Source organism: Homo sapiens, chromosome 5 (genome assembly GCF_000001405.40).
Source record: "Homo sapiens chromosome 5, GRCh38.p14 Primary Assembly".
Taxonomy (NCBI): Eukaryota; Metazoa; Chordata; class Mammalia; order Primates; family Hominidae; genus Homo; species Homo sapiens.
In genome coordinates, this window is record NC_000005.10 from 16,681,707 (window position 1) to 16,696,914 (window position 15,208).

The following is a 15,208-nucleotide window of genomic DNA, read 5'->3' on the forward strand; positions in this document are numbered from 1 at the left end:
TCTAGAAACACTTTATAATATCACAAATTAAAAATCACTTACAAAATCTCCAACAGTTAAAATGACTGGGAAAAGCAGCTCGAAATGAAAATGCTGCAGATGTCTATATGCAAATGGAAAGGGGAGTCTGTTAAGCAGACCGAGGAAGCAGGGCAGGCAGTCACCTCTCACGATGAATTCCTGGCCCTCCACTCTGGTGTCCCCTTTGGACCTCTGCAGCAGGGTTATCCAGTGGTGCATCTCCTCCGGCGTGTCGGCGTTGCAGTGCAGCACCCGGTTGGCCGTGATGATCACAAACGAGTTGGGTCTGAGCCACAAGATGAGAAGGAAACAAAGCCCCTTAGCCCTACCGTCAGCATCACCTCTGTGTGAACCGAGACTCAGTGCCTTCTTCCTGGCTTCTGGGTCACGGGATATACACTGCTAGGCTATCTGTGCTTTTATTAAGGCAAACGTTGCTCATTTCTGCAGAATTTCTTTTACGCATCATTAACCTTTAAACTTGGAGCAACACATTCATTCTGAAGGTCCTGGAAGGGAAAACATTTCTTCATGCAAAACTTTCCAGATGAAACTCAGTTCCGGGAAGGCTAAACAAGGTGACCATGAGGGAAAATTTTTTTTTGATGCCTCTCCAAAGTCAATTTCTTCCTGCCTTGGGTAATATTTCTGTGGGTTGGTAATGAAATGTCAGACACCAGCAATAAAAGAGGATCAGTAAATAGGTGTAGGTGGAGCATCTTAAATGCTTGATTACGCTTTATACAAAAAGCCACCTGGGTCCGGGTTTCCAAAGTGATCTAACAAGGGTGCATTTCCTAGTCACGGATAACGTGATAATGGAAATTTACTTTCTCCCTCACCTCTTTTTGTCTGGAAATGCCCTGAACCTCTCTCATAGGCCCTTGCTAATATAAATACTAACTCCTCTATCTAACGGCTTAAGCTAGAGAATGTGAACTCTTTCTTGCAAGTCTTCAAATGTTCACTGTAGTTAGGTGACACAAAAATTTAAGAAAAAGAGTAACTGGACTGCAGGACACAGGAAAAGCTATGCAAACAGGCTAAACTTGAGGTGCCCCTTAAAAATAAAAAATAAAAAAAGCCTTTTTCTATAGTTGGCAAGGGAGAAAAGTGGCCAGTTGAGGAAGAGAGAAAACCCTGAATGAGGATGCAAAATTCTAAGGATGGATCATCACATGCCCAGCCTGGAGGAGTGAAGGGCTTGGGAGAGTAAAGATGTGGAGAAGGTAAGGTAGAAACTCACATACCAGAATAAGAAGCACCAGGGCTTTGATTACGGATATGACACATACGTGTTAAAGATTCCTGAGCCAGTTATAAGGGGTGCAAGCTGACTACTAAAAACAAAGGACCCATGGTTCAGAAGGGCTCTTGTCAACGGGAGGGTGACTGACAGAGACCCCAGCACTCTAACTCTGCCAAGGAGGCACTATATTTTGTTGTCAATTTTAACACACTCGTATTCACTTTCCAGCATCTTACTGAGGGCAGAAGACAATTTTGATTCTTTCTCTGGTCCGTCCTAGAGAAACTTTTCTTAAATTCTGCTGCAGGCCAGAAGTAGAACTTACAAGATAATACAGAAAAACAGAGACAATAAAGATGAAGTTCACTGGGCACAAAGACGCGTAAGATCATCTCCAAAGATGATTTGCCTTCAAAAATCAAAACCAAAAAGGGTGCCAAGAAAGAAGAAATGTCAAGGAAAATCAATGTTTGTGGTTTATTAATACTCTACATATACATTATCATCAAAATCCTTTTCAAGTTTATCGTTAAGTTCAGAAAGGAGAATGACTCCCTTCCCCTTTGCTGGAATATCATTTTCCTAAACAGGCATTTTCTTCCTGTATAAATCCCAAGTTTGTCCCTGTATACACATTAAAAATATTCCTCATGCTTTTTAAAATTGTCCAGGTTCCCACGGTTTTCCCCAGGACTCCAAAGATACCCAGAGAAGGAGACTTCCAGGTGATGTAAAATTGGGTACCAAGAAGGAAGACTGGATTGCTGGGGTTGACAAGGTGGGAACACACAGCCTTGCGTGATTTCACAGCCCTGTGAAGAGGGTCGTGACCCAGCAGCACAGACACCTGTGGACACACACAGGTGATGAGCTGTTTTTGTTAAGAGCCACATCTGAGCTTACCTATCAGGGCTGTCAGAGGCACACACAGAATCAATCAGCCCCACATCCAAGGTGCCCTGGAAAAGAACAAAAAGTAAACAGAATGAGAGAAGCACTAAAGTAGGGTGCACACTACAGTAATACCTCTAGCCCACAACTCCCAATCAGACAGAAAAGGCTCTTTTCTTTTTAACTTCAAAATAATAGTTATCTATGAGACGACTCCTCTGTTGTGTGAGTACAAATAGCCTCTACACGGAGCAGAATCTATAGGCCATTTATTTTTTAAAATTACAAGTTAATCATTACCTCTTAACCTTTCAATAATTTATTTCTTTGTTTTTAAAAATATTTTAACTAAGTTTTCTACAAGTACCTCTATTTTAATTTAATTTGTTTGTTTTTGAAACAGAGTTTCACTCTGTTGCCCAGGCTGCGCAATGGTGTGATCTCAGCTCAACGCAACCTCTGCCTTCCAGGTTCAAGTGATTCTCGTGCCTCAGCCTCCTAAGTAGCTAGGACTACAGGTGTGGGCCACCACACCTGGATAATTTTGTGTTTTAGTAGAGATGGGGTCTCGCCATGTTGGCCAGGCTGGTCTCAAATTCCTGGCGGCCTCAAGTGATCCATCCGCCTTGGCCTCCCAAAGTATTGGGATTACAGGTCTGAGCTTCCGCACCTGGCCCCTCTTATTCTTAAAATATGTTCAGTGAACAGTGTTTATGACCTTCTTTCAATAGTACAAATTTCCTGATTATATTGTGTCCTTTAATTAAATCTTACACTTCTTCTCCTAAGAAACTTTATTTCAAGATTTTCTGATGAGGAAATAAAACTTGGTTTCCAAAGCAGGGTTTTGTAACTTTGTGTCTGGGATAGAGGGAAGACAAAGAATACAATTTGGATTTCGGCCCAGCACAGTGGTTCACGCCTGTATCACCACTTTGGGAGGCTGAGGCATGTGGATTGCCTGAGCTCAGGAGTTCCAGACCAGACTGGGCAACATAGTGAAACCCTGTTTCTACTAAAATACAAAAAATTAGCCGGGTGTGGCGGCAAGCGCCTGTAGTCCCAGCTACTTGGGAGGCTGAGGCAGGAGAATTGCTTGAACCTGGAGGCGGAGGTTGCAGTGAACTGAGATCTCGCCACTGCACTTCAGCCTGGGTGACAGAGTGAGACTCCATCTCAAAAAAAAAAAATAAGAATACAATTTAGATTTCACCAAGTCCTCTGAAGAGTAAGTGTGATGTGTACTTCCGTGACTTCATAAAAAGTAGGATTATTTCTTTTGTTCTTTTAAAGGTTTGAGGTGAGAGAACTGGAATGTATTACTACTTACAACCTTCTGTAATTTATTCGTTTTTGTTGTTTGTTTTTTTAGGAGACAGGGTCAGGCTGCTGGAGTTCAGTGGCGCAATCATAGCTCACTGTAGCCTCGAATTCTCAGGCTCAAGCAATCCTCCTGCCTCAGCCTGCCAAGTAGCTGGGACTACAGGCCCATAATACCATGCCTGGATAATTTTTAATTTTTTTCATAGAGGCAGTGTCTTGCTATGTTTCTCAGGTTGGTCTTGAACTCCTGGCCTCAAATGATCCTCCCACCTCAGCCTCCCAAAGTGCTGGGACTACAGGCATGAGCCACAGTGTCCAACTTAATTTACTGTATTTATTATTGTATTATATTGTACCACTTATTATATTTATTATTGTATTGATTCTAAACTCAAATGGTCCTGTTTTTCTCCTTAATTATTCTATATTTACCTTTTAAAAAAAGACTGTCTGGAAATTCCCAATCTTTCCCTTTTTTACCATCCTGACGCCCTCCCCGTCCCTGCCCCTAGACGCCCCACCCCCATCCCACACAGTGCTCCCGTACCACAGCATTCTGTGGGTTTGCCTGCTCATCATGCATCTCCTGGATCTCCTGGTCCGTGGACGCGTGGACCTGACTCAGCACGCTGAACCACTGGCTGTGGGGAAGAGAGAGCAACTGTCAAGGAGAGGCCAACCTCGTACTGGCAAAGCAATAGTGCCCTACTGCACGTGCTCTGTGAAAATGACATCTCTAAGCACCTTTGCTTTTAATTTGATTACTTCTTAGGGGTAAATGTCAGTTTCATTACCAAAGAATAAAGTGAGAAGAAGCAGATAAAGTACGTGTAAATGCCTTTTAGTGCTATATTATGTTCTAACTTTAGGTCAATGGACGGCCTTTTCTCCAGGTCCCATAGACCTTTACAGACATTTGACGATGATGAATGAGTTCCTTGAGAAATTAACAGCAAATAATAAATCCTCAGTTCTACCCAAAATACTTATATCAAGGATCCTTACTTAAGATATTACTTATAAACTAGGGAACATTCAGGTGCTTTTTCTGTTTTAAAACATAAATTTTAAGGTGAGAAGATCAATATAGGTTGAGCATCCATAATCCAAAACAAATCTGAAATCTGAAATGCTTCAAAATTCAAAACTTTTTGAGCACCGACATGATGCTCAAAGGAAATGCTCACTGGAACATTTCAAATTTTCAGATTAGGGATGCTTAACCGGTAAGTCTAATGCAAATATTCCAAACTCCAAAATCTGCACCACTTCCAGTCCCAAGCATTTTGGGTAAGGGATACTCAACATGTAATGGAGAGTATCATATTGGAATGGCCACTAGATGTCTATTTTTTTTTTTTATGAGATGGAATGTGTCTTCTTGCCCAAGCTGGAGTACAATGGCACAATCTCGGCTCACTGCAACCTCCGCCTCCCGGGTTCAAGTGATTCTCCTGCCTCAGCCTCTCGAGTAGCTGGGACACACCACCATGCCCGGCTAATTTTTGGTATTTTCAGTAGAGATGGGGTTTCACTATGTTGGCCAGGCTGGTCTTGAACTCCTGACCTCAGGTGATTCACCTACCTCGGCCTCCCAAAGTGCTGGGATTACAGGCATGAGCCATTGTGCCTGGCCTAGATGTCTATTTTTGTTATGTATTCCCAGGATGGGGTTTTCAACCATCTAACAGCATTTCTACTCAAGTCAATAAAACCACAGGAGAGTTGGAAATGAAAAATAACTGTTTTAAAGTAGAAAACTATTTTGACCAGAGAACTCTTCCATCTTTATTTCAAATGAGTACTCTCACATCCAACCTCATCACAATCAGAAAATAAAGGAAAACGTGTCTGGGCATGGTGGCTCACACCTGTGATTCCAGCACTTTGGGAGGCCAAGGTGGGAGGATGGCTTGAGCCCAGGAATTTGAGACCAGCCTGGGAAATTTACTGAGGCCCAGTCTCTACGAAAAATAAAAAATTAGCTGGGTGTAGTGGTACATGCTTATAGTCCCAGCTACTCGGGAGGCTGAGGCAGGAGGATCACCTGAGCCCAGAAGGCCAAGGCTGCAATGAGCCACGATTATTCCACTGCACTCCAGCCTGGGTGACAGAGCAAAACTCTGCCTCACAAAAAAAACAAATACAAAACGAAACAAAACATGTCAACTTAAGAAAAATCAAGCAGAACAAAGCATCAGGAAAATGACTATGAACAGACATGCATCCATCTAGCATTTACTGACCAACTACAAAATGTGAGCGCTATCAAATATGAAAGAGACGCTAGGGTATCCTTCTCCTGCTGGGGGCTTATAAGACACAAAATATATATATACTCCTACTGTTTAAGGCAGAGGGGAAGTACTTGGTATCCAATGGCATGTTTAAGTTAAAAAAATGACACCATATGTAAAGGTAGGCTGTGCAAACGATTTACAGCAAAGCACTAAAATCTATCTCGCGTGCTTCCTAAGGGAGAAAAATGTGACTACAAGCTTGAAAATATTCAACATATACAAGAGATATGCATATCTCTTGTATACAACAAGGAAAACACTTTAATATAAATTTGCACTATCCATTCTGGTTAACCAAACAGCAAGACTTCATTGCTTTGCTCATCTCAAAAATATCCCAAATTAAACATTGAAAAAGACATACATTCAAGTTGTAGGAATCACATACACAAAGGCATCAAATTTGTTGCACTTTCAATTCTGTCTAGATTAGACTCTTAAATTTATAAATTTCTTCTCTTGAATCAAGTATAACTTGGAATCTGAAAAGGAATTTTTTTAAAATAGTGTTCCACTGGTCAGGAGAAAAAGTCCTTGGCTAAAATATTCCAAAGGTTAAATTTAGCAGGTTCATCGTGGCATAAAACAGACAGGGCAGCTGCCAAACGCTGGGCCTATAATTCAGCTGAAAAGCTGCAGGCATTCCCTGGGCCACAAACAACCACATGTGGTCTCCAGGAGTCCCAGACAGAATGATGGGCTATAATTCCAGGTTTGCTTGTTTTTCCAGTTTGTGTTAGAATTTATGGGTCTAAGCAGGTGTTTTAGTTTGTTCCCATGGGAAGAATTATTTTCTGGTGTCTTTACCCTTAATGTTGCTATCATGGTACTGTATCAACTCAGAAAGATTCAAAGGGCAAGGGGTAGTGAGGGGTCCTGAGAACATACTAGAAGGTCCTAATGATCTTGGGGCTGAGAATTGAAGAATTCGGCTATTGGATGTTACCCTCGTAAATTAAAAGACGTTCTCAGCCAGGAAGAGGCTCACGCCTGTAATCCCAGCACTTTGGGAGGCTGAGATGGGCAGATCATCTGAGATCGGGAGTTCGAGACCAGCCTGACCAACATGGAGAAACCCCATCTCTATAAAAAATACAACATTTGCCAGGCGTGGTGGTGCATGCCTGTAATCCCAGCCACTTGGGAGGCTGAGGCAGGAGAATTGCTTGAACCTGGAAGGTGGAGGCTGCGGTGAGCCAAGATTGCACCAGTGCACTCCAGCCTGGGCAACAAGAGAGAAACTCTGTCTCAAAAAAAAAGAAAAAAAAAAAAAAGATGTTCTCTGGCATTGCTCAGACACCTCCAGCATAACCCTGCAGACTCACAAACTCACAAGCTGCAGGAATAGACAGGACAGACGTTCCACGGTGTCAGATCCACAAGGTGACCCTGTGATCCATCACACTGAAGAGCAAATGCTAAGTCTCCTTAATTTTGTGCTATGTCTCCTCAGCACTCCAGCATGGAAACCTGAAGTCCAGGAAGCTACAGACAACTTGCCCCAGCCAATGAAGGCCTCCACCCTCTTCTAATCTCAGTCAAAAGTTAAAGCTCCTTAGGAGCAAATGTTTTTAAGAAGTTCAATGTCTCCATTCAACAGAATTGAGGTTGCACTGCATTACAAATGATACTAACCGTTCTCTGTACCCTAGTCTCTTATTCTGCAAAGTATGGATGATGGTAATAATTAATGTCTACCTTGCAGGATCCAAGAGAATCAAAAGAGTTAATATTTATGAAGCATTTAGAATACTTCCTGAAATACTTAGGTATGAAACATTTAGAATATTAGCCTGAAATATAATTGTGATTACTTTTGCACCAAGCTAATAGTAAGTTCTGTGTAAGTTAGTACCTCTTCCGTTGAATTCTTCAATATTAAGATCTTTAAAACCCCCCAGTGCCATAGCACTATCAGTTACTTAAACAGCCATTAGTTACTGCTCCCTGCCCTTTTTCGTCCTTATGCAAACACAAATGATTCACTTTCAAAGCTCAGAAGCTTCCAGAGGGTAGATTTTCAGCTTCATGCAGCTGTATAATTTACACACGCTACCGGTGACAGTAACAGCCTGAGAGACAGGTGACAATGGATCTGTCTAGTGGCACTGGAGGCTGGAAATCCTGAACTCTGTGCTGTACTTGAACACATTTGCCCAGGGAAAGATTCCCCAAGGGACAAGTGCATCAATCTCGTATGACTCTTGGTTCTTCAAAAAAAGTCAATTAAAATTTTTCAAGGCCAGTACAGTAAACAGTGCTCTGTGTGATGCTCACACCTGTGCATGAGGGAGCAGGATGTGGGTAACACAAAGTCAACAGCGCAGACTCACCTGGCATCTTCTGGGGACTCTGCAATCAGGTGGAAAGTCCTATCGGCCATAATGATGTCGATCCCATTCTCCTTGGTGGTGTTATCTATGATCTCTCTGCAAAGAAGCAAAAGCAACAAACGCACATCAGGAACACCAAATTCTGAATAACTGAGGAAAGCAACTAATGAAGCCAATGACTAGAGTTGGGAACTGTCTGTTACTGACGAAACGGTACACAGTTGGCTCTCCATATCTGCGAGTTCAGGATTTGTGGGTTCTGCACCTGTGGATTCAACCAGCAGCAGATCAAAAATAAAAATCCAATTTAAAAAATAATAATACTACAAATTAAAAAACAATACAGTGTAACTACTATTTACAATGCATTTGCAACATACTAGCTATTGTAAGTAATCTAGAGACGATTTGAAGCATGTGGGAGAATATGCATAGGTTACATGCAATGACTACATCCTTTTATAGCAGGAACTCGAGCATCTGGGGATTTTGATGGCTGCAGTGGGGTGGGGAGTGGGGTGGTGGTTCTGGAACCCGTCACCAAAAGACATGGAGGGACCTACAATGGTTTTTCTTTTAGCAATGATGAAGACACCCTCTAGGGGGAGCCAGTCTCATCTCTGCTGCCCAGGGAGGAGGCTGCTGGTGTGGCCAGGGATAGCAGGGTTCCCCTGACTTCTCTAGGGGAGAGGCTCTCTCCCCTCACACTGGTCTGCCCAATGCCCACCCCTGCTCAGGACCCAGACAGGCCAGGGGCAGCAGCCCCCACTCCTGCCTGCAACTTCCTTTGGACCCTTTCTCAAATCTACAAAAGCCAACCTCGGCCCGGCGTGAGCTCTTTCCCTAATTCATCACAGCTCTCTCCCAGCTTAAGGCCAGGGCATCTGCGTCTGAATTCTGCTTGAGATGTGCACATTATTTCCATCAGGGGTGCTGGGAGTGAGGCGCAGGATTTGGGGTGTTTGGTCTCAATACCATCTTGATCTCATCTGCAACCCTCCCTAAACAACACTAGAGAAATAAAATTGGTGAACCAGGTTAACAAAATCAGGGTAAAACAGCAGCAGATGTTAGGATCAGACCAGAGATAGTAATACGTTTGATGAAGAAGGGTTTGGGGCATAAAGCCAGCTTGCTCTGATAACTAAAGAAGTGCAAATGTTCGGCCGGGCGTGGTGGCTCACGCCTGTAATCCCAGCACTTTGGGAGGCTGAGGCGGGCGGATCATGAGGTCAGGAGATCGAGACCATCCTGGCTAACACGGTGAAACCCCATCTCTACTAAAAATACAAAAAAATTAGCTGGGTGAGGTGGCAGGTACCTGTACTTCCAGCTACTCGGGAGGATGAAGCAGGAGAATGGCGTGAACCCAGGAGGTGGAGCTTGCAGTGAGCTGAGATCGCGCCACTGCACTCCAACCTGGGCGAAAGAGTGAGACTCCGTCTCAAAAAAAAAAAAAAAAGTACAAATGTTCACAATAAAACATGTATTTTACAGCAACAAAACTAAAATAGTCTGGTTAGAAAATAAGTATTATCTGACCTCATAGCTAGAATCACTGAGATGAAATATTTAAAAAAAAATCAAGATCAGGGCCGGGCGTGGCGGCTCATGCCTATAATCCCAGCACTTTGGGAGGATGAGGCAGGCGGATCACTTCAGGTCAGGAGTTTGAGACCAGCCTGGCCAACATGGTGAAATCCCGTCTCTACTAAAAATACAAAAATTAGCCAAGCTTGGTAGTGCACACCTGTAGTCCCAGCTACTCGGGAGGCTGAGGCAGGAGAATCACTTGAACCCTGGAGGCAGAGGTTGCAGTGAGCCGACATGGTGCCACTGCACTCCAGCCTCAGTGACAGAGCGAGACTCTGTATCAAAAAAAAAAAAAAAAATCAAGATCAGAACTACTGCTGACATCACAAGAGGACAACCAGCTACTCTAAGCCTTCTTAACAGAAATCAATACCAACACAAGTGAAGCACTCTTAAACAGAAAGAAAACCTGAACTCGATCACTCTCTAGGTCTAATGACCAATTCACAAGAAACAAATGAGAAAGAGAAACACGTTCAAACACATGCCCATATAGGGTTGGTGAAATCTAGAAACCATGGGATAAGCGAGCTAACATGTTCCATTACAAACAGCAAGTGAAAGAAAGGCAGAGGGGCATCTATACATTAAAAGAGACTTGAGTGATCTAAAAACCAGTGACAACATCTAGACCTCATTTGGATTCTGACTTGAAGAAAATAACTATAAAACCAACCCAAACCAACAAGAACACTACCACCTCCACTTATAAGGAAACTGCAGGCCAGGCACAGTGGCTCACGCCTGTAATCCCAGCACTTTGGGAGGCTGAGGTGTGCGGATCACCTGAGGTTAGGAGTTTGAGACCAGCCTGGCCAATATGTGAAACCCTGTCTCTACTAAAAATACAAAAATTAGCCAGGCATGGTGGTAGGCACCTGTAATCCCAGCTACTCAGGAGGCTGAGGCAGGAGAATCGCTTGAACCAGGGAGGCAGAGGTTGCAGTGAGCCAAGGTTGTGCCACTACACTCCAGCCTAGGCAACAGAGTGAGACTTGGTCTCAAAAAAATAAAAATAAAAATAAAAAAATAAGGCCACTGCAGAAATCTGAACAATGACTGGGAGTTTGGATAATATTAGGAGCTAACATTATTTTTTTAATGTCATAATGGTATTGTGATTATGTATTAGAATGTTTAAATACCTACTAAATATTTACAGAAGAAATTATATGATAGGGACTTGCTATAAAAGGAGGTGGTTTGCTGGGGGAGCGGACTGGATAGAACTGTGGATGAAACACTCTTGGCCATGGGTGGATAGCCACCGAAAGCTCTGGAATAAGTCCGTGGTTTATTATATTCTTCCACCCACTCTTGCCCATGATTGAAGTTTTCCATAATAACTCACTGTTCCTGTTCTATAGGAGGTGACAGAAATGGCTGAATAAGAGCTAACATTTCCATAACTCAGTATAATTCTGATGAAGCACCTAAGAATAGAGCTTTTATTAAGCAGCATACAAAGTGAGTTGCAAAAGAAACATACATCAATGTACTCTGGTGAAATTCAATACTATGCCTCCCTCTCTCACAGCTTCTTGGTGCTTGTGGCCCCTTCTATGGGATAATTAAAGAGAAACATCATGGCCGTAATCCCAGCACTTGGGAGACCAAGGCAGGCGGATGGCTTTGAACCCACGAGTTTGAGACCAGCCTGGGCAACATGGCGAAACCCCGTCTCTACCAATAATACAAAAAATTAGCCTGGCGTGGTGGCACACACCTATAGTCCCAACAACTCGGGAGGCTGAGGTGGGAGGATCACCTGAGCCCAGGAAGTTGAGGCTGCAGTGAGCCGAGATCGTGTCACTGCACTCCAGCCTGGGCAATGGGAGTGAGACCCTGTCAGTCAATCAATTGATCTATAGACAGATGAGGAACATCACGGTATGTGAGGCTGAGAGAAGATGGCAGAGGCAACAGAGCCATGCCTTGCTGTGAACCCTTGCAGGATTCAGACCCAGGATTCTCACAAGCGCACTCCCGCACCTCATGAACTCCAAAGGGACAGCCTGGAAATGTCCAATATTCTGCCGTCTGCAGAGACATGAGTTTTCCCTTACAATCAAATACATAAAAGACTTTCTTCTCCTCATTTAACTTTCCACTTTACAATGAATACTTTTCTGAAGTTGCGGATGCTGGCTGATTAGAAACATTTTACTTTTAAGGCTCCTGACTTCAGGCATTAATTTGATCCCTCAAAGATTATTTTACTACTTTTCTAAATATTTGAGGTCACTCAGTTTTGAGTGGAGTACGGCTACAGGTTATCCCCAAACATGTTTTCAGGCTTAGTATCTAGTTACCCCAGAAAACCAGCTGCTTGTAACTCCCAACAATTTTCTGGAAACATTACTTAGTCTTTTAACAAAAATAATAGGCCCTCAATAGTCCAAAGCTTTGGTTCTATAAGGGTGTGGCAGAAAAGGGGGCATGTTGGATTTGAAGACCAGCCCTGTTCCTCTCACTGCTGGGAATGGGGATGGCTAGTATAACCAACACTGGTATAACAGAAGAGAAGTGATTTATTTCGGAAAACTCCTCCAGTCTGTCTGCTTTTAATTTAGCTAATTTATCTGCTGGCAACAGCTGGAGTAAGGAATTGAAAGTGATACATTAACCCATAAAAAGACTCAGCCACTTGTTCCAAATTCACACCATTCTTCCTCCACACATTCAATTCCGTTTCCACCAGGCAACTTCCAGATCCAATTGGCTGGCCATCTTCCAAATGACAGCCACATGTCTGAGTGTAATCACAAAAAGCAAAGTACTCATGGATTAAGTCTTGCTTCCCAGTTTCCTAGTAATTTAACCTACTGAACTGAACTATCAGGACACCTGCTACAGGCTACTGCCGCTGCAAGGAACTTGCACAGCATGGCTCTATGACCACCAGCATAAACCATGAGCAACCCATCGGGCCACAGCCAGGCTTAGCAACCTACTTTGCCGTTCGCACTTCTACGGTGCCCTTGAGCTTCTCCTCGCTGTCGTTTTCAAAGTACATCAGCTTGGACTGGCGGAGGACAAACCAGCGCTTCTTCCAATTTCTCCTGGACAGCGTGGAGGAGCCCCCCCCTTTTTTGTGGAGCCAGCCTTGCTTGAGGGCCTCCTGCTTGGAGCGGAACCACAAGAAGGTTTCATCCTTGAGGACGCACCAGCGGCGTTTCCAAGAGTTCATCAGGCCACCTGTTCCCCGTGAGATTGGGTAGAGAGGGGTGAAAGAAAAGTCAGTCAAGTTGGATGACAACAACATGCATAGCAGGTGTTAAGGTCTAGCCGAGCTTAGACTCTGCCCCAGCCGCAGCACCGCAGAGACCCCTCAGTGAGGAGTGGCACTGCTAGCTCATGTCTGGGGGCACCACACAGATGTCACACCAGCCAGGCTGGATTATACAAGAATCCTTCTATCCAAAGGAGTTCCTGCTCACTTAGCTGAGAAAGCTTTGAAAGGAGCCAATAGAAAAGCAAGTAATGAACTGACACTCTAACCCAGGAATGAGTCAAAAGCCAAGGGTGAGAACCATGTCCCTATGTATGGATCAGGCTTATCCCAAAATGCACCAGAGAGGGAAAATTATTTTAACATGGTGTCAAAGTTTACCAGTTTCTTTACCCGTTTTTTGGGCCAGGAGCGGTGGCTCATGCCTGTAATCCCAGCACTTTGGGAGGCCGAGGCGGGTGGATCACTTGAGGTCAGGAGTTCAAGACCAGCCTGGCCAACACGGTAAAACCCTGTCTCTACTAAAAATACAAAAATTAGCCGGGTATGGTGGTGCGTGCCTGTAATCCCAGCTACTTGGGAGGCTGGGGTAGGACAATCGCTTGAATCCGGGAGGAGGAGGTTGCAGTGAGCAGAGATTGTACCACTAGACTCCAGCCTGGGTGACAGAGTGAGACTCCGTCTCAAAAAATAAACAAAGTTTACCCATTTCCTTCCATATTTGGTCAATGTGCGAACAAGAATTATCAGTGATTCCAGGGTTGACTGATAAAGTCTAACTTACACAGGTAAAGACAATATGGCTTTTTGGAGAAAAACATCTTTTCAAAGAAAAGCATCATCTGAAAATGGTTTACAGGTATAAGACTGAGACTATGAAAAAAAAAAAAAGAAAGCAAGAGTACAAACTACACTAAGATTTGAACTTAAATATACAGATGTTATCTTTCATAGGATAAAAAAATCTTGCTATGCTCTTCAGGGAGGATAATTTTGTATTCCAGATTCCCCAACCTGCTCAAGATCAACATCTGACACACATCTGTTATTATAAGACTGTCCACACATTATTTTCTTTTGACCAACCAGTAATGAAAATAAGGGTCATTTAAACATGGGATATTTAAAGTAAGTATAATCCTATCCTTTTATGCGTTCACTGTGTGAAAACCAGACAGTGCACTTGCTTCACTGAACTTTCTAGACTCCTCTCCCTCCTTTTGTCCAAGAGGCCCCTGCTCATCTAGCTGAGACATCTTTGGTAATTGTGCCAAGCTGCAGAGCCGTGTCCTAACATATGGCAAACTTGCCAACGGCTACCAGAATGAAACATTATTAGTGTTTTGATTTGTGACTTTAATCTGGGTTTCTCAAAACAAGCCTGGAGGAAAACTGTGCAAAATTATTCTATTATCTTGTTGTTGTTAAATGATAAAGCTTATTCACAGTTGTTTCAAAGATTAGAAGAGTCATCACGACAGCTCTCACCATTAGTTTATTTAATCTAATTGATTAATTAGATTTATTTATTTATTTATTGATAGCACTCACTCTTGGCCCTCCCTTTGCAATTTCAGGCCCTCTCTTGATAATTCATCATTTAGAGAATCACTTAATGCTATAATTTCCTAATTGCAAACATCTTTAGTAGGTTATTTGGTTGTAAAAATTTATTTATGCCCATAAAATATAAATTGGTGATTAGATTTTCTTTTTCATTCATTCGTTGCTCTGAAACTTTTTGGCTCTGCTTTAATTAAAGTTTTATTAAGTATTAAATGAGGCTGCATTTACACAATAGCTTTAAGAGATGCCGAAAACTCACCCATTTAACTTCTTTGACCCTGATTTTAATACTTTGAATGTGTCTTTACTTTTTTCCTACTCTTACTGGTTTTAATCCAGTAACTGTATAATAAATCAATGCTGCCGGGCGTGGTGTCTCACGCCTGTAATCCCAGCACTTTGGGAGGCTGAGGCGGGTGGATCACAAGGTCAAGAGTTCAAGACCAGCCTGGCCAACATGGTGAAACCCCGTCTCTACTCAAAATACAAAAATTAGTCAGGCGTGGTGGCGCACGCCTGTAATCCCAGCTACTCAGGAGGCTGAGCCAGAAGAATAGCTCAAACTTGGGAGGCGGCAGTTGTGGTGAGCCGAGTTCGCACCACTGCACTCCAGCCTGGGTGACAGAGCGAGACTCTGTCTCAAAAAAAAAAAAAAAAAAATCAATGTCATACATTAAGAGGAATATTGAAGAGAATTTTC

General features: G+C 43.1%; 1 protein-coding gene across 5 annotated transcripts in view; it reads right to left on the minus strand.

Moving 5' to 3' along the window:
* Positions 1–15,208, minus strand: part of MYO10 (myosin X) — a 274,382-nt gene that overhangs the window by 19,800 nt on the left and 239,374 nt on the right. For all 5 annotated transcript variants that reach the window (XM_006714475.4, NM_012334.3, XM_005248307.3 and 2 more), the window contains 5 exons: positions 12,665–12,908; positions 8,118–8,213; positions 4,032–4,125; positions 2,174–2,229; positions 165–307 (listed from right to left, as the gene is read on the minus strand). In XM_006714475.4, coding sequence (XP_006714538.1) covers positions 165–307; positions 2,174–2,229; positions 4,032–4,125; positions 8,118–8,213; positions 12,665–12,908 — 633 coding nt within the window. The remainder of the gene's footprint in view (positions 1–164; positions 308–2,173; positions 2,230–4,031; positions 4,126–8,117; positions 8,214–12,664; positions 12,909–15,208) is intronic.